The sequence below is a fragment of the Homo sapiens genome, chromosome 19 (genome assembly GCF_000001405.40).
Source record: "Homo sapiens chromosome 19, GRCh38.p14 Primary Assembly".
Taxonomy (NCBI): domain Eukaryota; kingdom Metazoa; phylum Chordata; class Mammalia; order Primates; family Hominidae; genus Homo; species Homo sapiens.
This window is the reverse complement of record NC_000019.10, coordinates 10,207,700-10,232,034: the sequence shown is the minus strand read 5'-3', so window position 1 is coordinate 10,232,034 and position 24,335 is coordinate 10,207,700. Positions and strand designations below refer to the sequence as shown.

At 52.1% G+C, this 24,335-nt stretch overlaps 1 protein-coding gene, 1 non-coding gene and 1 pseudogene across 2 annotated transcripts, besides 13 other annotated features; 2 read left to right on the top strand and 1 right to left on the bottom strand.

Annotated features, from left to right (window-relative positions):
- Positions 150 to 199: an enhancer, noted in NCBI's record as "active region_13946". NCBI's record gives its function as "activates an Ori minimal core promoter by ATAC-STARR-seq in GM12878 lymphoblastoid cells {active_cell/tissue: GM12878}" and the evidence as "EXISTENCE:reporter gene assay evidence [ECO:0000049][PMID:35858748]".
- Positions 400 to 1,059: a silencer, noted in NCBI's record as "silent region_10059". NCBI's record gives its function as "represses an Ori minimal core promoter by ATAC-STARR-seq in GM12878 lymphoblastoid cells {active_cell/tissue: GM12878}" and the evidence as "EXISTENCE:reporter gene assay evidence [ECO:0000049][PMID:35858748]".
- On the top strand, positions 704 to 10,602 carry S1PR2 (sphingosine-1-phosphate receptor 2). Its single transcript, NM_004230.4, has 2 exons — positions 704 to 831; positions 7,088 to 10,602. Exon 2 carries the CDS (start codon positions 7,130 to 7,132, stop codon positions 8,189 to 8,191), a length of 1,062 nt encoding a protein of 353 aa, NP_004221.3. The 5' UTR covers positions 704 to 831; positions 7,088 to 7,129; the 3' UTR covers positions 8,192 to 10,602.
- Positions 1,346 to 2,060: an enhancer, noted in NCBI's record as "H3K27ac-H3K4me1 hESC enhancer chr19:10340651-10341365 (GRCh37/hg19 assembly coordinates)". NCBI's record gives its function as "activates a minimal SCP1, AML or CMV promoter by ChIP-STARR-seq in naive H9 embryonic stem cells {active_cell/tissue: H9 hESC(naive)}" and the evidence as "EXISTENCE:reporter gene assay evidence [ECO:0000049][PMID:30033119]".
- Positions 1,346 to 2,079: a biological region, named in NCBI's record as "H3K27ac-H3K4me1 hESC enhancer GRCh37_chr19:10340651-10341365".
- Positions 1,550 to 1,622, bottom strand: MIR4322 (microRNA 4322). Its single transcript, NR_036206.1, has one exon. It is a non-coding gene; the product is annotated as a microRNA 4322 (primary transcript).
- Positions 1,770 to 1,819: a silencer, noted in NCBI's record as "silent region_10058". NCBI's record gives its function as "represses an Ori minimal core promoter by ATAC-STARR-seq in GM12878 lymphoblastoid cells {active_cell/tissue: GM12878}" and the evidence as "EXISTENCE:reporter gene assay evidence [ECO:0000049][PMID:35858748]".
- Positions 2,000 to 2,079: an enhancer, noted in NCBI's record as "active region_13945". NCBI's record gives its function as "activates an Ori minimal core promoter by ATAC-STARR-seq in GM12878 lymphoblastoid cells {active_cell/tissue: GM12878}" and the evidence as "EXISTENCE:reporter gene assay evidence [ECO:0000049][PMID:35858748]".
- Positions 2,160 to 2,209: an enhancer, noted in NCBI's record as "active region_13944". NCBI's record gives its function as "activates an Ori minimal core promoter by ATAC-STARR-seq in GM12878 lymphoblastoid cells {active_cell/tissue: GM12878}" and the evidence as "EXISTENCE:reporter gene assay evidence [ECO:0000049][PMID:35858748]".
- Positions 11,468 to 11,968: an enhancer, noted in NCBI's record as "H3K27ac hESC enhancer chr19:10330743-10331243 (GRCh37/hg19 assembly coordinates)". NCBI's record gives its function as "activates a minimal SCP1, AML or CMV promoter by ChIP-STARR-seq in naive H9 embryonic stem cells {active_cell/tissue: H9 hESC(naive)}" and the evidence as "EXISTENCE:reporter gene assay evidence [ECO:0000049][PMID:30033119]".
- Positions 11,619 to 11,698: an enhancer, noted in NCBI's record as "active region_13943". NCBI's record gives its function as "activates an Ori minimal core promoter by ATAC-STARR-seq in GM12878 lymphoblastoid cells {active_cell/tissue: GM12878}" and the evidence as "EXISTENCE:reporter gene assay evidence [ECO:0000049][PMID:35858748]".
- Positions 11,919 to 12,148: an enhancer, noted in NCBI's record as "active region_13942". NCBI's record gives its function as "activates an Ori minimal core promoter by ATAC-STARR-seq in GM12878 lymphoblastoid cells {active_cell/tissue: GM12878}" and the evidence as "EXISTENCE:reporter gene assay evidence [ECO:0000049][PMID:35858748]".
- Positions 11,919 to 12,469: a biological region, named in NCBI's record as "H3K27ac hESC enhancer GRCh37_chr19:10330242-10330742".
- Positions 11,969 to 12,469: an enhancer, noted in NCBI's record as "H3K27ac hESC enhancer chr19:10330242-10330742 (GRCh37/hg19 assembly coordinates)". NCBI's record gives its function as "activates a minimal SCP1, AML or CMV promoter by ChIP-STARR-seq in naive H9 embryonic stem cells {active_cell/tissue: H9 hESC(naive)}" and the evidence as "EXISTENCE:reporter gene assay evidence [ECO:0000049][PMID:30033119]".
- Positions 12,279 to 12,328: an enhancer, noted in NCBI's record as "active region_13941". NCBI's record gives its function as "activates an Ori minimal core promoter by ATAC-STARR-seq in GM12878 lymphoblastoid cells {active_cell/tissue: GM12878}" and the evidence as "EXISTENCE:reporter gene assay evidence [ECO:0000049][PMID:35858748]".
- On the top strand, positions 14,686 to 15,046 carry LOC103689916 (coiled-coil-helix-coiled-coil-helix domain containing 10 pseudogene; annotated as a pseudogene).

Genomic DNA, 24,335 nt, shown 5'->3' with positions numbered 1-24,335 from the left:
TCAAGACCAGCCTGGGCAACACAGCGAGACCCCATCTCTACAAAAAACTGCAAAAAATTAGCCAGGCATGATGGCGCACCTGTAGTCCCAGCTACTCTGGAGGCTGAGGCAGGAGGCTGAGGCTCCCGTGAGCTATGATTGAGCCACCACACTCTGGCCTGGATGACAGAGCAAGACCATGTCTCAAAAAAAGAAAAAAAAAAAGAGATCAATTTTGTCTTTGGGACAGGACATCGCACTTAGTAGGAATTTATTTGTTGGGTGGACACACAGTAGGCACTTAATGCCTATTTGCTGCGTTGACACCTAGTAGGTACTTCCAAGGCTCTTTGTTGAGTCAATAAATGTGACCTCGTGTTTTCTTCCAAGTCCAGGGTCCCAGGGGTAAGCCCAGAGGTAACCTGGGGTTGAAGACAGTTGTTTCAGGTTGAGGCCACCTGGCCAGGAGTACTGTGACGTCACCAGGCTGCGTGACGTTTCGCGCCGGCCGGTTCTCACGGGTGGGGGCTGGGAGGGGCAGAGTGAGAGATCGGGTGGGGGGGGCGGACAAAGGGCCCTCCGTGCAGCTCCTGTCGGCCCCCGCGTGCGCCCCGGCCAGCCGGCCGGTCACATCTGGAATTCATTGCAGCCGCCGCCGGAAAGGGGAGGAGAGGAGGGCGGGGCGAGCGGGGGGCAGAGGCGGCGGCTCTCCGCCCCCCCCTCTGTCCCTCGTCCCAGCCCCGGGACTTAGCCGAGCCCGGCTGGCAACCCCAGCCCCAGCCGCGGCCGCCCTGGGGACGCAGACGCCAAGGCCCCTCCGGCCAGGGCCGGGAGCCGGGCCGGCCTAGCCAGGTGAGCGCGCGTGGCGACAAGGAGGCAGAAAAGGCGGGCCTGGTCCCCTGAGGTCTCGGGATCCGAGCTGAGGGGCCCCAATCGGGGGGCTGGGGCGCGCACGCGCCGCCTGGGTTCCTGCTGCACGGAGCGGGTGGTCACAGTGCGCCCTCTCCAAGAATCCGGGCGGCCCCCACTGCCTCGGCCGCGAACCCGCAGACTGTGCTCCCCGCCTTTCTCAGCGGCAGGAAGTTGGCGCCGGGGAGAAGGCTGAATCCGAGCGCTTTCGACTGGAGTCTTTGGGAGGCAGGACGCCGTGCTCGGGGACCGGGGTCTTGGGGAGTGTGTTTGGGGGGGGGCAACACCCCTCCTGGCTGACTCCGGCTGAGCGAGGGCAAAAGGATGTGCGCGCCGTGGAGCCTCCAAGCCAAGGGGCGGCACCCACGGGGAGGGCGGTCGGACGTCGGGCTTTCTGCCTCGGTTTCCCCAAGTTGTTTGCCTCCTCCGGTCCCCCGGCGGGGGGCGTGGCTTTGTTTTGTAAGGAAAGAGAAAGTGACTGCGTGGCTCAGACGCCTCCTCTTTCAACTCCGGCTCAGGGATGGGTCGTGGGTGAAGGCGCGCGTGGCGCGGACCTCGCGTGGCCCCGAGCCGGGCGGAGCGTCGGAACTCGCCCCCTTCTCAGGCACGGGTTGACTCACCCGGGGATTTCCACCCCCTCCTCTGTCTCTGTCCTTGTCAGATGCTCCGGGCCCCACGCGCTGAGCCCACAGTCCCCCTCGTGGGGCGACACGGCCAGGCGCGGAACTCGCGGTGCAGCTGCTGCTGCGATCTGGTCCCCCACCCCCAGTCTTCCCAGAATCTCGAGGCGGGACCCCTGGCGGGACGGAGAGGAATCCTTCCAGTGCCGCTTGGAGACGTGGGGGCCCCGCGCGTGTGGCGGTCTCGGGGGCGGGGGGGAGAGGAGGCGTGGCTCCCGCGCGAGCGAGCGTGGATACCGCGCATTCCTAAACCAGATAAGGAGGCCGAGAGTGCGGGCCAGCACGGGGTCGGGTCCTGCTGCCATCTCCATGGAGACACGCTGGGCTTTGCCTGGTTGATGGTGGGCGATGGGGGCGCTGCCCGCGGACCAGAGGTGTCTCCAGGCTCCTTTGTTGCTGTTTGGGTCTGGGCTGAGCTTAGGAGTTTCCACCCTTGGGAACCCACTAGGGTCTCCTTTGTTCATTGGTTCATTCATTCATTCATTCATTTGCCCATTCCACACGTTTTCTGAGTGTTTTATTTGTGCCAGGCATCCCTGTAGGGGCTGATAACTGACTTGCTCCCTGGCCTTAGGCATTGACTGTCTAGGTGGAAGCCAGACAGAAAAGGAAAGATATCATGATAGTTTCCCATAGTGGCAAGCGCTGTGCAGATAATAAAACGAGATTCTGTGATTAGAAAAGGCTTGGAGATGGCTGCTATTGTAGACTGGGGGTCAGGGGAGTCCCCTCTGAGGAAGTGACCTTTAAATAGAAAGGTCACTTTCTATAAGGTAGGGTGGCTACCACGGGCTCCATGGGTGACCAGGGGGAACTGTAACCACAGGGCCTGCCTTTCTGAAAGATGGGGAGACAGTCATTCAAAGATTTGAGGAAAGGCCAGGCGTGGTGGCTCACGCCTGTAATCCCAGCACTTTCCTAGGCTTAGGCAGGTGAATCACCTGAAGTCAGGAGTTCCAGACCAGCCTGGCCAACATGGTGAAACCCCATCTCTACTAAAAATACAAAAATTAGCCAGGTGTGGTGGTAGGCACCTATAATCCCAGCTACTCAGGAGGCTGAGGCAGGAGAATCGCTTGAACTCAGGAGGCAGAGGTTGTGGTGAGCCGAGATCACACCACTGCACTCTAGCCTGGGCAACAGAGTGAGACTCTGTCTCAAAAAAAAAAAATTTTTTTTTTGAGAAAAAGAGTGTGCCCCAAGAAGAACAGCAGGGGTAAAGGCTTGGAGGTAGGGGTAGGGGTAGCATGGAGGAGGTTTAGTGTGGTTGGAGTGGAATGGCCCTGGGGGAAGAGTGGGAGGAGGCTTCATCGGCAGGGGCCATCCTACTTGGGCTATAGGGAGCCATGGAAGAATTTGGAGTTGGGGAGTGACATGGAGTTACAAGTTTAAAAGCTCCCCCTGGCTGCTTGGTAGAGAATGGCAGGGTAGGGGGTCCTGACAACCACAGAGAAACCAAAAGGTAGGGTGGCTACCACGGGCTCCATGGGTGACCAGGGGGAACTGTAACCACAGGGCCTGCCTTTCTGGAACTGGGAGTGGGTGGAGAGGACCTTGGAAGCCACTGAGGCTTCCTCCATCCTTCCCCTCTCCTAATCTCCAGACAAACAGTCGTCTGAGTCTATCTCTCTTCCCTTCCTTCCAAACCCCATCACTTGTCCCTCCTGTTCCATTTCAGGCCTGGACATTCTATGTGAGCCCAGTGGCCTCTTTCTGAGCTTCTGAGAGGGAGTCAGGGCAGACTTGGTGAAGGTGACCGGGAGACAGGCTCTGTGTCCTTCTCAAAACCTGGTAACCTTACACAGGGAGGGGACATGGGCTAGGCCACGCCATCCACCTAGGGGGTGACTCTTCTGCCAGCTCCAACCTCAGTGCCCTGCTTCCTCTTTCTGGGAGGCGTCAACCGCCCAAGTGCTTGCCTCAGTAAAGTCCTAGTGGTTAAGATGAGTCTTGGATAGAATGTGGGCCTCAGTTTCCCCTTCTCTAGGAGAGCTGCTTCTCCCTCTGTGAATGCCTTAGCCTCCCCGGGCTGCAGAAGGTGAGAGTGCAGCACCCCCAGTCTTCCTCTCAGGGAAAAAGACAGACTGCTTAGTTAGTCCCTGGGGTGCAAGGGCTGAACACATTTCATTTTGTTTTGTTTTGTTTTGTTTTGTTTTGAGACAGTCTCGCTCTGTCACCCAGGCTGGAGTGCAATGGCTGCGATCTTGGCTCACTGCAACCTCTGCCTCCCGGGTTCAAGCGATTCTCCTGCTTCAGTCTCCCAAGTAGCTGGGATCACAGGCGCACACCACCATGCCCGGCTAATTTTTTTTTTTTTTTTTTTTTTTTGAGTAGAGGGGGGTTTTACCATGTTGGCCAGGCTGGTCTTGAACTCATGATCTCAGGTGATAGGCCCGCCTCGGCTTCCCAGAGTGCTGGGATTACAGGCATGAGCCACTGCGCCCGGCCTAAACACATTTCTTATTTATCCAGGAAGCCACAGCAAATCTCTTGGTGAGCAGCAGAGGGGGCGGCTGCACTGCACAGCGTGCTCCCCAGGCCTGGAAAGGGACCTTGATTCTCACTTATGAACCCCAGGAGGGGCCCAGCAGGCCAGGGCAGCCTGGGGGTGTCTGGTCGGGGTGACCCAGAGGTCAGGCTGCGGTTCAAACTCCCCCTAGGGACGTCCACATAGCATTAACTCTATCCTCAGAAAGCCTGAGCTCCCGTCGCCTATAAAGGACCCCATCGGTAGGGCTGGCCGTAGAGCGCCCCCAACTGGACCAATCAGAGGCAGAAGATGGAAAGCCCGGGCCAATAGGCAAATTGCTCAGTGCCCTTGGATTGAAAATGAGCCAATCAGAGCATGGGCTGTTTCCGGCCCATCAGCTGTGTCTGATCCAGCCGCAGCCTGGGCCCAAGCCTGCCTGGGACTGGCTGCAGCGTGCAGAGGGCATCAAGATGCCCGGGGCTGCGTCCAGCAAGGGAACAAGGGGCCTCTGTGTGGCTATCTGGGAGGGGCAGCAGTCCCCGGGGACGTGCACAAGCCCTTGTCTGTTCCCAAACTAGGACGGATGTCCCTCCGCCCTGGGGGAGCAGCTGCCTCTATCCAGCCAGGGGCCAGGATGCCCCTTGGAGGGGGCGGCCAGGGACTGAGATGGCTGGGTGACTCCGGAAACCTCCATCACTCCTGGGCTCAGGAGAACTGGCCTAACCAGACTTTTCTGGAACGGTGCACACAGTCCTTGCCAGACGTGTTTCTAGGGACCTGAGGAGGACTCCCCCTACTCTCCCCCCTCCCTCCCATTTAGCTAAGGCTGGAACTTCCTCTCCCTTCATGAAAGGCATACACTGCACTGGCGCCTCTGACAACCCCTAACCCTACCCCCAAGCTGGGGGAAGGCCATGGTGTCTGCCTCTCATCCTCTCTGCCGAGGAGCGCCTCTCCCCGCCCCCTCCCACCACGGCTCAGTTTTCCTTGGTGGGTGGCGATGGGGGGGGATGGGAGGGGGTAGAGGGAGGGATGGAAGAGGGTGGAGGGGAGGGATGGGAGGGGGTTGGGGGGGTGACTCAGGTTTTCATGGAACAAATGCCTTACCCCCTCCCGGCGGGGCTGCACACCCCTTCACGGCTCACATGACTTCAGCAAAGCTGCCCCATCCTCCCAGCCAGGACCTCCCAGATGGGGTCTCTCCCATCCTGACTCCCCCTACATCCCGCCTTCCTCACACCGGATGTGACTGCAGAGTGAGGACTCCACCCTGTTTGTTCCAGGGGCCTCACATCTGGATTTCATCCTGGCTGGGGAGGGGGTGCCAGCGCCCTGCCCATCCCGGCAGGACCTTCTGTCCCAGGGCAGAGCTAGATGGTGCTGATGAGAACAGGCTGTTGGAGATCTCGTCTGGTTGGCTTACATCCCTTCCCTTCCCAAAGGACTGGAGGAAAGAGGGGAGCTAATAACATTTGGCAGTATTTGTTGAGTGCTTACTATGAGCTAAACGTGCCTCATGCGTCATTTAAAAGGATTTTCCCATCACCCCCATGAAGTGGGCTTTCTTCTCTCTATTGCACAGATAAGGAGGTTCAGGCTGAGACAGCGTCTAGGGACTTGCCCAGTGTTTCAGAGGTGGAATGGGAGCAAATTCTGGATTGCCTTCAAGGTCTGTGTCCTTGAAGATGGTGTGACCTCTGGGATGTTTGAATCTCAGGGCCGCCCTGGTGTCTCCCCAAGACCTTATCTTGGGAGCACCCGTGGCCTCAAGGCTTAGACCCAGCCTGAAATCCAGCGTTAGTGGGTGGTAATGAATGAGCAGGGCACGGAGCTATCAGTGGTGAGACTCTCCCTGACCCAGGTCAGCATGAGGGCGCAGGCGCCTGTGTGTTCCAGAAAAGAGACAAACCCTCCAGGACCTGCCTAGGGCTTGCTCTCTGGGTAGGTGGGCAAGGTTTCTGGAAGTCCACATTATATTTTTCATGCCATTTGGGGGAGCTTCTTTCCCTTTGAAAGCGTGTAGCTACTCAGGAGACTGAGGCAGGAGGATCACTTGAGCCCAGGAGTAGAGACAACTGTGAGCTATGATCATGCCACTGCACTCCAGCCTGGGTGACAGAGCAAGACCCTATCTCTAGAAAATAATAATGAAAATTAAAAGAGGCAAGATGTCATGGTTCATACCTGTAATCTCATTGCTTTGAGAGGCCGAGGAGAATTGCTTGAAGCCAGGAGTTCAGGACCAGCCTGGACAACACAGTGAGACCCAATCTCTAAAAAACAAAAAAACTAGCCAGGCGGCTGGGCCCGGTGGCTCACACTGGTAATCCCAGCGCTTTGAGAGGCCGAGGCAGGCGGATCATGAGGTCAGAAGTTCGAGACCATGCTGGCCAACATGGTGAAACCCTGTCTCTACTAAAAATAAAAAAAAAATTAGCTGGGCCTGGTGGCAGGTGCCCGTAATCCCAGCTACTCAGGAAGCTGAGGCAGGAGAATCACTTGAACCCAGGAGGAGGAGGTTGCAGTGAGCCAAGACCGTGCCGCAGCACTCCAGCCTTGGCAACAGAGGGAGACTCCATCTCAAAAAAAAAAAAAAAAAAAAAAAATTAGCCAGGCGTGGTGGCATGTGCTTGTAGCTGAAGCTGAGGTGGGAGGCTGAGGTGGGAGGATCACTTGAGCCCAGGAGTTCAAGGCTGCAGGGAGCTATGATTGCGCCACTGCACTCCAGCCTGAATGACAGAGCAAGACCTTGTCTTTAAAATATAGATAAATAAAATAAATAAGAAAGAGCGTAGCCTAGGGCTTATAGAGGCCGCAGAGCCAGTCTCTCTGGCCCTGCCGCTGGTTAAATTTGAGACTTTAGGAAAGTGAATTAATCTCTCTGGGTTTCCCGTCTGTAAGTGGGGATGATGATGATTCTGAATTCATGTGGCCCTTCCTCGAAGAGTAACAGAGCAGGAAATTGAATCTCAGCCCATCCGAGGCCAGAGCCCAGGTAGCAGCCACAGCTCTGACCTATTGTCTGTCTGTCTGTCTGTCTTCTCTGCAGTTCTGAAAGCCCCATGGCCCCAGCAGGCCTCTGAGCCCCACCATGGGCAGCTTGTACTCGGAGTACCTGAACCCCAACAAGGTCCAGGAACACTATAATTATACCAAGGAGACGCTGGAAACGCAGGAGACGACCTCCCGCCAGGTGGCCTCGGCCTTCATCGTCATCCTCTGTTGCGCCATTGTGGTGGAAAACCTTCTGGTGCTCATTGCGGTGGCCCGAAACAGCAAGTTCCACTCGGCAATGTACCTGTTTCTGGGCAACCTGGCCGCCTCCGATCTACTGGCAGGCGTGGCCTTCGTAGCCAATACCTTGCTCTCTGGCTCTGTCACGCTGAGGCTGACGCCTGTGCAGTGGTTTGCCCGGGAGGGCTCTGCCTTCATCACGCTCTCGGCCTCTGTCTTCAGCCTCCTGGCCATCGCCATTGAGCGCCACGTGGCCATTGCCAAGGTCAAGCTGTATGGCAGCGACAAGAGCTGCCGCATGCTTCTGCTCATCGGGGCCTCGTGGCTCATCTCGCTGGTCCTCGGTGGCCTGCCCATCCTTGGCTGGAACTGCCTGGGCCACCTCGAGGCCTGCTCCACTGTCCTGCCTCTCTACGCCAAGCATTATGTGCTGTGCGTGGTGACCATCTTCTCCATCATCCTGTTGGCCATCGTGGCCCTGTACGTGCGCATCTACTGCGTGGTCCGCTCAAGCCACGCTGACATGGCCGCCCCGCAGACGCTAGCCCTGCTCAAGACGGTCACCATCGTGCTAGGCGTCTTTATCGTCTGCTGGCTGCCCGCCTTCAGCATCCTCCTTCTGGACTATGCCTGTCCCGTCCACTCCTGCCCGATCCTCTACAAAGCCCACTACTTTTTCGCCGTCTCCACCCTGAATTCCCTGCTCAACCCCGTCATCTACACGTGGCGCAGCCGGGACCTGCGGCGGGAGGTGCTTCGGCCGCTGCAGTGCTGGAGGCCGGGGGTGGGGGTGCAAGGACGGAGGCGGGGCGGGACCCCGGGCCACCACCTCCTGCCACTCCGCAGCTCCAGCTCCCTGGAGAGGGGCATGCACATGCCCACGTCACCCACGTTTCTGGAGGGCAACACGGTGGTCTGAGGGTGGGGGTGGACCAACAACCAGGCCAGGGCAGAGGGGTTCATGGAGAGGCCACTGGGTGACCCCAGATAGAGACTTGGGGCTACTGAGCCAGATGCCCCCGCCCCACAGACCTGGGTGATGTTGCAAATATTTCACACCTGGAAAGGCCAGATAAGGCACTGACTAGTCACATAGCAGTGTTGCAGTGCGGTCCTGAGGGCCAGTCCAGTGGCTAGTGTGACCCCTTTAGAACTGGATCCTGGGGAGGCCAGGGCAGGGGACCTGTGAAGAGCCAGGGTGAGGGCAGGCAGCATTTAAGGGGAGCTCAGGGCAGGAGCACTTTACCACCTGGTACAAAGGATTTTTTTTTTTTTTTGAGACGGAATCTTGCACTGCTGCCCAGGCTGGAGTGCAGTGGCGTGATCTCGGCTCACCGCAAGCTCCGCCTCCTGGGTTCATGTCGTTCTCCTGCCTCAGCCTCCCAAGTAGCTGGGACTATAGGCGCCTGCCACCACACCTGGCTAATTTTTTGTACCTTTAGTAGAGATGGGGTTTCACCGTGTTAGCCAGGATGGTCTTGATCTCCTGACCTCGTGATCCGCCCGCCTCGGCCTCCCAAAGTGCTGGGATTACAGGCGTGAGCCACCGTGCCCGGCTTTTTTTTTTTTTTTTTTTTTTTTTTTTTTTTTTTTTGAGATGAAGTCTCGCTCTGTTGCCCAGGCTGGAGAGTGCAGTGGTACGGTCTCAGCTCACTGCAACCTCCACCTCCCAGGTTCAAGCGATTCTCCAGCCTGAGCCTCCTGAGTAGCTGGGATTACAGGTGCCTACCACCACGCCCAGGTAATTTTTTTTTTTTTTGTATTTTTAGTAGAGACGGGGTTTCACCATGTTGGCCAGGCTGGTCTCGAACTCCTGACCTCATGATCCGCCCGTGTTGGCCTCCCAAAGTGTGGGATTACAGGCGTAAGCCACCTCACCTGGCGGTACAAAGAATTTCTGCATTTTCTTCCCTGGCCCCTAGTCCTGCACCGATTTCTCCTTTTCGAATGTATTCCTCCTGCCACCTTCTCTGGGCAACTTCGTGCGACTACAGAACCACTGTCCTGAGGAGCTAGAGGCCTCCTCTCTGACCATCCAGAGCCCAAATCCACAGCTTCCCCAAATTTCATCAGCTGCCACTTGACGACTTCTCCCCGTCTCTCTGAGGCCCGGAAACCACGGCTGGAGGTGGGGAGGGGATGGCGGCTGAGGTCCATTCCTCATTCTCAGACCTCATTGCTCAGTTGCACTATTTGGGGCACAGAATAATCACCAAAAGTGAGAAAAACGAGTTTGGGTGGCTGGGGAGGACTTTGGGACTCTTGATGCAAGGCGCAACTTGAGAAAATTCTGGGTGTGATATTTGCACAGACACCCTCCTTTCAAAAACAGCCACCCCCCAAGCTATTCTCAGCTCCACACCTGCAGCCCCAGCTAAGGTACCAGGTCTCCTGAGCAAGGCAGAGAGAAGCCTTGAGCCTTCTCTGTGTCTTCTTTCAAGAACCCCGCTGTGTCTTCTTTCAAGATTTTTTTTTTGAGACAGTTTCAAGATTTTTGTTTTGTTTTTGAGATGGAGTCTCACTGTGTCACCCAGGCTGAGGTGGCAGTGGTTCAATCTCCGTTCACTGCCACCTCCACCTCCCGGGTTCAAGCGATTCTCCTGCTTCAGCCTCTCGAGTAGCTGGGACTACAGGCACCTGCCACCATGTCTGGCTAATTTTTGTATTTTTAGTAGAGACAGGGTTTCACTACGTTGGCCAGGCTGGTCTCAAACTCCTGACCTCAAGTGATCCGCCCGCCTCGGCCTCCCCAATTGCTGGGATTACAGGCGTGAGCCACTGTGCCCGGCCTTCTTCTTTCAAGTTATATAGAATGGAGCATGGGGGTGGCAGTGGCTAGGGACATTTCCTGGGGACACTCTCCCCTAACCCCCCAGAAGGACTTCACAAAAACCTGTGGATAATGGAAGGGATGTTACGGTACAAACGTATATTTATGTGTGTGTGTGTGTATGTGTGTGCGCGCGCGCGTGTGCACATAGGCGTGATGTCTGTGACCCTCCTCTCCTCGTCACATTTCCCCCAGAATGAATGCTGTCCTGTCTGCTCATGTTTGTGTTGAAGCTGCCAAAGTCGGGGAGCTCTGGTCCTGCCCAGACCCCTTTGGAATTGCTGGCCCATCCTCCCACTGGAGAGCTGGGGTGCAGCTCACCTTGGGGAAGGAAACCTCATGCCTCAGAGTAATTTCTTGTGAATGCAAAGCCTGGGGGAGCGGGTCTTTGGGGGGCAAGGAGCCAGTCAGGGGCTTGTTTCCCCTCATAGAGCTCCCCAGACGTGCCTCCGCAATGCCTGAAACCCAGACCTAGGCTAATAAACGGTTCAATTTCTGTTTCCTGTGGTTGGTGTGTCTTTTCGGGGAGCAATTTCCCCCAGGAGCGCCCCATGGCTGGGCTGGATGGAACAGGAGGGGGGCTGCTGCCTGAGTAACTCATCCTTTGCCAACCTTCCCATTCTGTGCTCCTGACACCCTTAACCCGGCCTGAGCCAGGAGAAAACAGAGGTCAACCGGGATCTTTCCCAGGGGCAACTCACCTGCACCTCCCAGGGATTAACTCGGTCTGGGATCTCCCTGCTTTCTCTGAAGGAGACAGCCTGGCAGGTGGTGGGAGGCTCCTACATCCTCCCAATTGTATGTGCCTCCCGGGGAGCTGGAGAGATGGTTTGAGGGGGCTACAAAGAACCCAGATACCCACCCTTAGACACGGTGTTCCCAAAAGTAATGGCTGATCTTCACCGAGCACTTTCCAGGCATAAAGACTTGACTGCTCAGGAGGTGGAAGTTACTATAAACTCTTATGGAGGTGTGAGTTCAGAGAGATCAAGCAAACTGCTCAGAGTCACACAGCGCTAGTCGGGGTAGCGCCTGTCTGGATTTGAACCCAAGCAGGCTGACTCCAGACCATACTGGATCCACCACTGGGCTAGAGAAAGGCCACTCAGCTGAGTGCAGTGGCTCACTCCTATAATTCCAGCACTTTGGGAGGCTGAGGTGGGTGGGTCACTTGAGATCAGGAGTTCGAGACCAGCCTGCCAACATAGGGAAACCCCGTCTCTGCAAAAAATACAAAAATTAGCTGGGTGTGGTGGCGGGTGCCTGTAGTCCCAGCTACTCAGGAAGCTGAGGCAAGAGAATTGCTTGAATCCGGGAGGTGGAGAATGCAGTGAGCCAAGATCACGGCACTGCACTCCAGCCTGCGCGACAGAGCAGAGCAAAAAAAAAGACAGAGAGAGGCCACTTAGCTCCCTCTTTGCCATGGAAGGAGGAGCCACGAAGTTCATCAAGAACCAGGAGAAGCCAAGATAGGATGCAGCCTCGGGTGGGTCCCTCGGTGGGTTCCCTGGTGATACTCTTCTCTTTTGTCTGCAGGCAGCCGGCTCAGTGGCTCCTTTGAAGAAAAGTCTAGAGTTTTTTTGTTTGTTTGTTTTTTAAGACAGGGTCTTGCTCTGTTGCCTAGGCTGTAGTGCAGTTGGTGCCATCATGGTTCACTTCAGCCTCCCAAGTAGCTGGGACCACAGACATGCACCACCATGCCTGGCTAATTTTTTTTTTTTTTTTTTTTGTAGAGATGGGGGGTCTCCCTATGTTGCCCAGGCTGGTCTCGAACTCCTGGGCTCAAGCGATCCTCCTGCCTCCACCTTGGCCTCCCAAAGTGCTGGGATTTCAGGCATGAACCCTTTGATGGGGGACCCTAGGCACCCAAGCTGGAGCCCCACACAGCAACACCAGCTCAAAGACTAGGACAGCCAGTGGGAGAGAAGGCAGACCGCAGAGGCTGAGGGCCTGCAACCCCCATCGGAATTCCCCTTCTCTAGCAGTTGAGACAACAACCTCTGTTTGGAAACCTGAACCCTAGATGGGATGGGGGGTGGGGTGGGGGAAAAAGGCACAGGCCAGGCTGGAGTCAATAGATTTTCCCCAAGTACCCACAGGGTTCTCTATCTCCCCCTTCAGGACTCTGCTCAAATGCCACCTCCTCAGAAAGGAGTCACTTGCTTATTACCTGGCAGTATATATTATTAAGTTGGTGCAAAAGTCATTGCGGTTTTTGCCATTACCTTTAATAGCAAAAATTGCAATGACTTTTGCTATTTCTTTTAATGGCAAAAACCGCAATGACTTTTTTTTTTTTTTGAGATGGAGTCTCGCTCTGTCACCCAGGCTAGAGTGTATGGCCCGATCTCGGCTCACTGCAAACTCCGCCTCCTGGGTTCACGCCATTCTCCTGCCTCAGCCTCCTGAGTAGCTGGGACTACTAGTGCCCGCCACCATACCAGGCTAATTTTTTGTATTTTTTTTTTTTAGTAGAGACAGGGTTTCACCGTGTTAGCCAGGATGGTCTCAATCTCCTGACCTTGTGATCCACCCACCTCGGCCCCCCAAAGTGCTGGGATTACAGGCGTGAGCTACCGTGCCCAGCCTACAATGACTTTTAATGGCAAAAACCGCAATGATTTTAGCACCAACCTAATATGTATCAATTTATCTGTCTCTACCCCCATTAAAATACAAGCACTGTGAATATAGGACTGCACCTGCCTTATTTACTAATGTATCTCCAGTGTTGTTTTTTTGTTTTTTTTTGAGACAAGGTCTTACTCTGTTACCCAGGCTCAAGTGCAGTGGTGCAATCACAGCTCACTACAGCCTCAACCTCCTGGGCTCATGGGCTCAGGTGATACTTCCACCTCAGGCTTCCTAGTAACTGGGATTATAAGCCTGCTAATTTTCTTTTTTTGTAGAGACATGATTCTTCCATGTTGCCCAGGCTGGTCTTGAACTCCTAGGCTTAAGAGATCTGCCTGCCTCAACCTCCCAAAGTGCTGAGATTACAGGTGTGAGCCAACTTGCCTGGCTATTTATGGCTCTCTAACTTTTTTTTTTTTTTTGATACAGGGTCTGACTCTGTCACCCAGGCTGGAGTGCAGTGACGTAATCACAGCTCACCGCAGCCTTGACCTCCTGGGCTCAAGCCATCCTCCCACCTCAATCTCCCAAGTAGGTGGAACTACAGGTATGTGCCAACACACTGGCCTGCTTTTTTGTATTGTTTGTAGAGACAGGGTTTCACCATGTTGCCCAGGCTGCTCTCAAACTCCTGGGCTCAGTGCTCCTCCCACCTCAGCCTCCCAAAGTGCTGGGATTACAGGCATGAGCCACCATGCCTGGCTATCTCTAACATCTTAAACACTACTTGGCATGTTCCCACCCCAGGGCCTTTGCACCTGCTGTTCCCTCTGCCTGGAATGCCTACACACAGTAGGTCCTCAGTAAATACTTGTTGAATAAATAAAACAAAAGCAAATGATGGTCATTTCAGTGAGTGTTAAGTGCTAGGAAGAAAATAAAATAGGGCCGGGCACGGTGGCTCATGCCTGTAATCCCACCACTTTGGGAGGCCGAGGTGGGCAGATCACCTGAGGTCAGGAGTTTTTTTGTTTTGTTTTGTTTTGTTTTTGAGACGGAGTCTTATTCTGATGCCCAGGCTGGAGTGCAATGATGTGATCTCGACTCACTACAACCTCCACCTCCTGAGTTCAAGTGATTCTCCTGCCTCAGCCTCCCGAGTAGCTGGCATTACAGGCATGTGCCACCAAGCCTGGCTAATTTTTGTATTTATAGTAGAGACGGGGGTTTCATCATGTTGGTCAGGCTGGTGTCGAACTCCTGGCCTCAAGTGATCTGCTTGCCTAGGCCTCCCAAAGTGCTGGGATTACAGGCGTGAGCCACTGTGCCCAGCCAAGGTCAAGAGTTTGAAACCAGCCTGGCCAGCATGGTGAAACCCTATCTCTACTAAAAATACAAAATTAGGCCATGTGCCTAATTTTGGGATTACACCTGGGATCATGCCTGCAATCCCAGCACTTTGGGAGGCCAAGACGGGTGGATCATGAAGTCAGGAGTTCAAGACCAGCCTGGCCAACATGGTGAAACCCTGTCTCTACTAAAAATACAAAAGCTAGCTGGGCGTGGTGGCACGCACCTGTAGTCGCAGCTACTAGGGAGGCTGAGGCAGGAGAATTCTTGAACCCGGGGGATGGAGGTTGCAGTGAGCCGAGATTGCGCCACTGCACTCCAGCCTGGGCAACAGAGTGAGACTCTGTCTCAAAAAAAAAAATTAGCTGGGCGTGGTGGCGAGCGCCTGTAATCATAGCTACCGGGGAGGCTGAGGCTGGAGAATTGCTTGAACCCGGGAGGCAGAGGTTGCAGTGAGCCAAGATCGCGCCTTTGCACTCCAGCCTGGGCAACAGGAGCGAAACTGCATCTCAAAAAAAAAAAAAAGGGGGGGCGGCATTTGTCCCTGCGACAGAACTGCTGCCGCCATTGCCGTCTCTAATATCTAATATAATAATATCTAATATCTAATATAATAAGGTCTCACCACAGCCACCAGGCCTTGGGGAAGCCACAGTGTGGCCGACTGGCCAGTCAGACCCCCACCGGTGCTGCCTCCCAGCCCCTACAGATGGGGCTCTGCACCTACAAGATCAGGCAGTTCCTGGACTGTTCGACCACTGAGAATGACCTGTCCCTGTGTGAGGGCTTCAATGAGGCCCCAAAGCAGTGCAAGTACAACCATGGTCTGAGCTCCCTGCCTTGAAGACGTTGGTGCAGACTCGAGGGCCAGCTCTGCACCCACCTGTACCCCTTGCCCACAGCCAGACCACAACACCAGATTGTACCTGGATAGCTGGGATTGGAAGTGAGGAATAGGTTTCTCACCCCACAGATAACCCAAGACACAAATGTGCAATTAAAAAATTTATTTTAGACCACCAAAACAAACAAAACAAAACAGAAACAAATAAAAAAAAGAAAAGAAAATAGTGCCAGGTGTGGGAGCTCACTCCTGTAATCCCAGCACTTTGGAATGCCGAGGCGAGTGGATCACCTGAGGTCAGGAGTTTGAAACCAGCCTGGCCAGCATGGTGAAACCCCATCTCTACTAAAAATACAAAATTAAGCAGGCGTGGTGGTGGGCACCTGTAATCCCAGCTACTTGGGAGGCTGAGGCAGGAGAATGGCGTGAACCTGGGAGGCGGAGCTTGCAGTGAGCCGAGATCGCGCCACCGCACTCCAGCCTGGGTGATGGAGCAAGACTCTGTCTCAAAAAAAAAAAAAAAAAGGAAAGAAAAGAAAATAGGGCCAGGCATGGTGGCTCATGCCTGTAATCCCAGCCCTTTGGGAGACCAATGCGGGAGGATCACTTGGGGCCAGGAGTTTGAGATGAGCCTGGGCAACATAGTGAGACCTCATCTGTAAAAGTAAGTAAATAAATACATATATACCCTGGTGTGGTGGAACGTGTCTATAGTCCTGGCCACTCTGGAGGCTGAGGTGGGAGGATTCTTTGAGCCTAGGTGACCGAGGCTGCAATGAACTGTGGTCATGCCACTGCATTCCAGCCTGGGCAACAGAGTGAGACCCTGTCTCAAAAAATAAAAAGTCTAATGTGTGCTCGTGTGCTGGGCACTGTGAGAATCATTTGACATCTGCAAACTTCTGGAATCCTCACAATAATCCTATAGAGTAGGTGCTATTATTGGCTTTTTGACAGATAAAGAAACCGAGGCACAGAGAGGTTAAGTAATTCACCCAAGGTCAAGTAGCATGGGAGTCAAGGGGCCAGGATTGGAACCCAGTGAGTCACTGAAGACCACACTTATATCTTTTTAAAATGTTTTTCAGCTGGGCGCGGTGGCTCACGTCTGTAATCCCAGCACTTTGGGAGGCCGAGGCGGGCGGATCACCTGAGGTTGGGAGTTCAAGACCATCCTGACCAACATAGAGAAATCCTGTCTTTACTAAAAATACAAAATTAGCCGGGTGTGGTGGCACATGCCTGTAATCCCAGCTACTCGGGAGGCTGAGGCAGGAGAATTGCCTGAACCCAGGAGGCAGAGGTTGTGGTAAGCCGGAGATCGCACCATTGCACTCCAGCCTGGGCAAGAAGAGCGAAACCCCGTCTCAAAAAAATGATTATTTATTTATTTATTTTTGGAGATAGAGTCTCACTCTATCGCCCAGGCTGGAGTGCAGTGGCACAGTCTCGGCTCACTGCAACCTCCACCTCCCAGGTTCGAGAGTTTCTTCCGCCTCAGCTTCTCTAGTAGCGGTGATTACAGGCACGCACCACCACGCCTAGCTAATTTTTTTTTTTTTGAGACAGAGTTTCTCTCTTGTCACCCAGGCTGGAGTGCAATGGCGCAGTCTTGGCTCACTGCAACCTCTGCCTCCCAGGTTCAAGCGCTTCTCCCGCCTCAGCCTTCCAAGTAGCTGGGATTACAGGCGTGCACCATCATACCCAGCTAATTTTTTTGAGATGGAGTCTTGCACTGTCGCCCAGGCTGTAGTGCAATGGTGCGATCTCGGCTCACTGCAACCTCCGCCTCCCAGGTTCAAGAGATTCTCCTTGCCTCAGCCTCTCAAGTAGCTGGGATGACAGGTGCCCGCCACCATGCCTGGCTAATTTTTTTGTATTTTTAGTAGAGACAGGGTTTCACCATGTTAGCCAGGCTGGTCTTGAACTCCTGACCTCATGATCCACCCACCTTGGCCTCCCAAAGTGCTGGGATTACAGGCATGAGCCACTGCGCCGGGCCCACAATCATATCTGATCCTCCTCAATATCTGGATCTGAAGATCCCATTTGTTGATAGCTCTCAAATCTTGGAGCCCAAATTAAAGTGGTCCTTCCAGCAGGAAACACAAGATGACTTTCACCTCCTTTTTCCCCTAGGGAGGCTGTTGCCTAATAGGGACCAACAAAGGAATGACCTGGAAGAACCTGCTTAAATGCAAATTCTCAAGCTCTATGGTCAGAGATTCTGACTAAACAGGTCTGGAATGAACCTAGAAATGTGTGTTTCTTACCAGGAACCCCTAATAATTTAAAAATATGTAGTCCTTGGCCGGGGAACAGTGGCTCACGCCTGTAATCCCAGCACTTTGGGAAGCTGAGGCGGGTGGACCATCTGAGGTCAGGAGTTTGAGACCAGCTTGATCAACATGGAGAAACCCTGTCTCTACTAAAAATACAGAATTAGCCGGGCATGGTGGCGCATGCCTGTAATCCCAGCTACTTGGGAGGCTGAGGCAGGAGAATCGCTTGAACCCTGGAGGCAGAGGTTGCGGTGAGTCAAGGCTGCACCATTGCACTCCAGCCTGGGCAACAAGAGCGAAACTCTGTCTCAAAAAAAAAAAAAAAATATATATATATATATATATATATATATAGTCTTTGCACTATATTCTGTTTTGTTGTTGTTTTGGAGACAGGGTCTCACTCTGTCACCCAGGCTGGAGTGCAGTGGTGCCAATTCGGCTCACCGCAGCCTCAACCTCCCAGGCTCAAGTGATTCTCTTGCCTCAGCCTCCCGAGAAGCTGGGACTGTAGGCGCTTGCCACCAAGCCTGGCTACTTTTTAAATTTTTTATTTGTAGAGATGGGCTTTTGCCATGTTCCCTAAGCTGGCCTCAAACTCCTGGGCTCAAGTGATCCTCCCATCTCGGCTTCCGAAAGTGCTGGGATTACAGGTGTGAGCCACTGTGCCTGGCCCTTGCACCATATTCTAAGAAGCATTCTCGGCTCCATAATTCAGAGCAGCACTGTCATGAGCATTACAAATACGACTAATGTGAGGCAGGCAGGGGCTGAATTTTACATATTATTGAATTTTAATTAACAAATCATTAGCTACAATATTGGGCAGTGCAATTCTAGATTTCATATTTCTAGTTTCTGCAGCCTCTGAGTAACTGAGCTCTTTTGATTACTATCTCAACAATTTTTCTTTTCTTTCTTTTTTTTTTTTTTTTTTGAGACAGAGTCTCACACTGTCGCCTGGGCTGGAGTGCAATGGCGGCTCTCGGCTCACTGCAACCTCTGCCTCCCAGGTTCAAGTGATTCTCCTGCCTCAGCCTCCCGAGTAGCTGGGATTACAGGTGCCCACCATGCCTGGCTAATTTTTTTTTTTTTGTATTTTTTTGTAGAGACAGGGTTTCACTATGTTGGCCAGACTGGTCTCAAACTCCTGAACTTGTGATCCGCCCGTCTCGGCCTCCCAAAGTGCTGGGATTACAGGCATGAGCCACCGTGCCCGGCCCATCTCAACAATTTTTTTTTTTTTTTTTTGAGACAGCGTTTTGCTCTTGTTGCCCAGGCTGGAGTGCAATGGTGCAGCCTTGGCTCACTGCAGCCTCCACCTCCCAGGTTCAAGTGATTCTCCTGCCTCAGCCTCCCAAGTAGCTGGGATTATAGGCGCATGCCACCACGCCCGGCTAATTTTTGTATTTCTAGTAGAGACAGGGTTTCACCATGTTGGCTAGACTGGTCTCAAACTCCTGACCTCAGGTGATCCGCCTGCCTCAGCCTCCCAAAGTGCTAGAATTACAGGCGTGAGCCACCGCACCTGGCCAGAACAAGGCGTTCTCTAACATAACCTCAGTAAAATGATCAAAAGCAGAAAATCTGCAAACCTAATTAGATTTCACCCATTGTCACATCACTGACCTTTATAGCAAAAGAAAATCCCAGATCAGTTGTTGTTTCCAGTTGTCTTTTTAGTTTCTTTCACGGAGATCAATTTCTGAGCCTTTTTGTGTTTTGCGACCTTGACGTTTTAACAAAATGTAGGTTAGTTATTAGGCAGAATGTCTTTCAACTTGGGTTTGTCTGCTGTTTCCTTATGATTAGATTCAGGTTGTGCCTTTTTGGCAGGAAGACCCCAGCGTGTCTCTGCTATAAAGTTACTGCTTTCCGGTTTGTAATTATTAAGTTTCTTGTGGGGAGGTATGTGGAGACTCTATAAATATCCTATTATTCATCAGACTTTCACTCTTTCAGCATTCATTCTTGCCTGAATCAATTATTATTCAAAGGATTTTTTTTTTTGAGACAGTGTCTCACTCTGTTGCCCAGGCTGGAGTGCAATGGTGTGATCACAACTCACTACAGCCTTGACCTCCCAGGCCCAAGCGATCCTCCTGCCTCAGCCTCTCAAGTAGCTGGGGCTACAGGTGCAAGCCACCATGTCTGGCTAATTTTTGTAAAGAAGGGTTTCGCTGTGTTGCCTAGGCTGGTCTCCAACTCTTGGGCTCAAGCAATCCACCCACCTTGGCCTCCCCAAATTATGGGATTACAGGTGTCAGCCACCACACCCAGCCAGCCTCACTGGATATTTTGAAGCAAATCTGAGGCCTCAAATAATTTCATTTGTAAATACTCCATTTTTTTATCTCTAAAAGGTAGCAACACTTAAAAAAATGCTACAATACCTTTTTTGGGCAGGGTGTGGTGGCTGACTCCTGTAATCCCAGCACTTTGGGTGGCTGAGGTGGGAAAATAGCTTGAGCACAGAGGTTGGAGGCCATCCTGGGCAACATGGTGAAACTCTGTGTCTACCAAAACAAAAAAAAAAAAAAAAAAGCTGGGCATGGTGGCATGCACCTGTAGTCCCAGCTACTCAGGAGGCTGAGCAGGGAGGATTGCTTGAGCCCAGGAGGCAGAGGCTGCAGTGAGCAGAGACTGCCCACCTGCGCTCCAGCCTGGGTGACAGAGTGAGACCCCCCATCTCAAAAGCAAAACAAAACAAAAACCGAAAAACCTTTCTGTAGAACCAAGGTCTCACTATGTTGCCCAGGCTAGTCTGGAACTCCTGGGCTCAAGTGATCCTTCTGCCTCAGCCTCCCAAAGTGCTAGGATTACAGTCATGAGCCACTGTGCCTGGCCTTTCTTTCCACTTTTCACTGATAACTAAGAATGATCCAGGGATTCGGATGCCATCCGCCTGACCATGCCTTTGTAAATTCCCCACTTGGCGTTTCCCTAAAGGTTTGATCATCCATGGATAACCATTGCCTGGAACTGTTGTTTCATTAGCAGTCTTCAAAGGGTTTCTGGATGGGCGTGGTGTGGCCCATGTCTGTAATTCCAGTGCTCTAGGAGGCTCAGGCGGGAAGATTGCTTGAGGCCAGGAATTCGAGACTAGCCTGGGCAACACAGTGAGACACCCCCAGCTCTACAAAAAATCTTAAAAATTAGTTGGGCATGGTAGCAGGAACCTATAGTCCCAGCTATTCAGGAGGGCAAAGCAGGAGGATCACTTGAACCCAGGAGTTGGAGGATGCAGTGAGCTATGATGGCACCACTGCACTCCAGCCTGGGCAGTAGAGTGAGACTGCCTCTCTAAAAACAAACAAACAAACAAACAAACAAAAAACCTACAAACGGTTTCTAAACCGTCTCTCCATCCTCATATCTAGCCATTTTTTCCCATTTGTCTACAAAGCTGACATACTTGCCCAAAATTCAGACACCCAATACCACCACCTTCCCCCTTTTTTTGGACAGATTTAACTATTCTCGGATAAGAAATTCAAAGAAAGCAATACCACCACCCTTCCTTGAATGTCTTATCCAAGAATAGACAAATCTGTCCAAAAAAAGGGAAATGAAGTGGGTCGGATGTGATTCATTGTTGTCGGCAATTGTGGTGGCATAACTGTTAAAAGTGCATACTATCAAGTTAGGAAAAGCAGATTTGAATCTCACATCCCACACTCAACAACCCAAGTAGCTTTTGGGGATGGCACATGACAACTGTCAGCTGGCCTCATCTATAAAATGAGTATGTTACTTTATTTTTTTTGAGATGGAGTCTCACTCTGTCTCCCAGGCTGGAGTGCAGTGGCACGATCTTGGCTCACTGCAACCTCCGCCTCCCAGGTTCAAGTGATTCTCCTGCCTCAGCCTCCCCAGGAGCTGCGATTACAGGTGCCCACCACCACGTCCAGCTAATTTTTGTATCTTTAGTAGAGACGGGGTTTCATCATGTAGCCAGGCTGGTCTCAAACTCCTGGCTTCAAGTGATCTACCTGCCTCGTGATCCACCCGCCTTGGCCTCCCAAAGTGCTGAGATTACAGGCGTGAGCCACTGCACTCAGCTCATTACTTTTAATAGCAAAGATCGCAATTACCTTTGCACCAACTAATGATCCCCAACTTGCAGATTGCTTTTGGAGAATCAGCTGTGGTTAATTGGTGGTCTTTTCCAGGAAGGAGTCTCCTCACGTGACATCCCTCTGGCTTAATTTAAGGCCAGGGCAGGCCTAGCTTTTATTCCTGCTCACCGCAGTGTAGACAGGGAAACTTTCTTTGCAGTTCAGGAGCAGACGCTGTGTATTTTCACGTCATTCTCCAGGAGGTGGGCAAGTCTCTGGCCTGTAACTGGCATTTTTTCTCTAGGGCTTGTGGCTTTCATGGACAATGGCCATGTCATGGACCCTGGCAGGCAGAAGGAGGCTGGGAAGAGTTGAGGGAGGAAGGCAGGGTGTAAGTGGCCTGGAAGGAAAAAAGGAAGCCTAAGTTTGAAGTGGGTGAGAAAAATGAAGATAAGTGCCTTGGTAATTTCTATAATCAGAATTACACAGTATGTACCCTCCTATGACTGGTTTCTTTCATACAGCATAAGGTTTTTGAAATTCACTTTTTTTGTTTGTCTGTTTTTTCTAAGATAGGGTCTTGCTCTGTTGCCCAGGCTGGAGTACAGTGGCATAATCATAGCTCACTGCAGCCTTTATCTCCAGGGCTCAAGCGATCCTCCCACCTCAGCTTCCCGAGTAGCTGAGACCACAGGCTTGTGCCACCATGCCCAGCTAACTTAAATTTTGATTTTTTTTATTTTTTGCTGGGCGCAGTGGCTCATGTCTGTAATCTCAACTCTTTGGGATTACAAAAAAAGAAAAAAATTAGCTGGGTGTGGTGGTGCATGCCTGTAGTCTCAGCTACTACTTGGGAGCCTGAGGCAGGGGGATTGCTTGAGCCTGGGAGGTTGAGGCTGCAGTGAGCTATGATCACATCACTACACACCAGCCTGGGTGACACAGCAAGACCCTGCCTCTAAAAAAGAAAGTTTATGACCCTTGTGTATAATATTCCATGTGAATAAGTAACTATTTATCTGTTCTATTATTGTTCATGTAGTCTTCAGCTTTTGGCTATTGTGAGTAAACTATTATGAACATTCCTTGTTCATGTCAATTGGTAGATATATACACTCATTCCAGGCATGGGATTGGTGGGTCCTGGGCAGCAGTAGACTTGGCTTTAGCAAATGTTGCCAAATCATTTTCCAAAGCGGCTATACCATTTGAGACTTCCTCCAGCAGCATAGAAGAGTTCTGGTTTTGCCAATACTTGAAAAAAATTTTTTTTTCATTTGTGTGTGTGCGTGTGAGGGTGATATTGTATTGCAGATTGAGTTTGCATTTCCCTGATGACTAATGAAGTTGAGCAGCTTCCCACGTTAGCCTTGGCCATCTGGGCATCCTCTTTTGTGAAGTGCCTATTTAGCTCTTTTAGCCACTTGGTAAAAAAGTGATTGTCATTAAGTTGAAGGAGTTCTATATGTATTATAGGTATGAGTCTTTTGTCAGACGTATGTCTGTGGCTTTTATTTTTTTGTTTGAGATGGAGTCTTGCTCTCTCACCCAGGCTGGAGTGCAGTGGCGCGATCTCGGCTCACTGCAACCTCCGCCTCCTGGGTTAAGCAATTCTGCCTCAGCCTCCCAAGTATCTGGGATTACTGGTGCCCACTACTGCGCCTGGCTAACTTTTGTATTTTTAGTAGAGGCAGGGTTTCACCATGTTGGCCAGGATGGTCTCAAGCTCTTGACATCATGATCCACCCGCCTCGACCTCCCAAAGTGCTGTGATTACAGGCGTGAGCCACCGTGCCCGGCTGTCTGTGGCTTCCTTTTTAATGGCATCTTTTGATGAACCAAAACTCATTTTCAGCTGGGCATGGTGGCTCACACTTGTTATCCCAGCACTTTGGAAGGCCAAGGTGGAAGGGTCACTTGAGGCCAGGAGGTCAAGACCTGCCTGGGCAACATAGTAAGACCCTGTGTCGACCAAAAAAAAAAAAAAATTAGCCAGGTGTGGTGGTGCATACCTATAGCCCCAGCTACTAGCTACTCTGGAGGCTGAGGTGAGAGGATCACTTGAGCCCAGGAGTCCAACATTGCAGTAAGCTGTGATTGCACCACTACACTCCAACCTGGGAGACAGACCCTGTCTCAAAAAAAAAAAAAAAAACCCAAAAACTCATTTTCATAGAGTCCAGCATATTTTCTTTTATTAATGTGCTTTGTGTCCTGCCGAAGAAACACTTGCTTGTCCACAAGTCACATAGATGTTCTGTGTTTTATTTCAAAAGCTTTCCTGACTTTGCTTTCGTATTTAGATATGTGATGTGTCTGAGTTGTCTTTTTTTTTTTGAGACAGGGTCTTACTCTGTCACCCAGGTGGGAGCACAGTGGTGTGATCATGGCTCATTGCAGCCTCAACCTCTTTGGGCTCAGGTGATCCTTCCACCTCAGCCTCCAGAGTAGCTGGGACTACAGGTGCCTGCCATCATGTCCAGCTAATTTTTTTTTTTGAGAGGGAGTTTTGCTTTTGTTGCCCAGGCTGGAGTGCAATGGCGTGATCTCAGCTCACTGCAACCTCTGCCTCCCAGGTTCAAGCGATTCTCTTACCTCAGCCTCCCAAGTAGCTGGGATTACAGGCATGTGCCACCATGCCTGGCTGATTTTGTATTTTTAGTAGAGAAGGGGTTTCACCATGTTGGTCAGGCTGGTCTTGAACTCCTGACCTCAGGCGATCCACCCAGCCTAATTTTTGTATTTTTTTTTGCAGAGATGAGTCTTGTCATGTTGCTCAGGCTGGCCTTGAATTCCTATACTCAAGCAAATCCACCTGCCTCGGCCTCCCAGATTGCTGGGATTACAGGTGTGAGCCACTGCCCAGCCTGTTGGTAATTTTGATGGATATTTGTAAACTGAGCATTTAATGTGGGAAGAACAGGCTTCGTACCCTCTCTCATCTGTGTAGGGCTCCATAACACTTTATTGGGTGCTAACTACATCCTGGGTGCTTTGCTACACACTGGGCATCGGTGGGGGTATGGCTGATGTAAATCTCAAAATATATGATCAACAGCTGGGGTAAAGGCTCTGAAAGAAAGGGCCTGACTTCTAAAAGACCATGGAACAAAGACCTGAAAGGG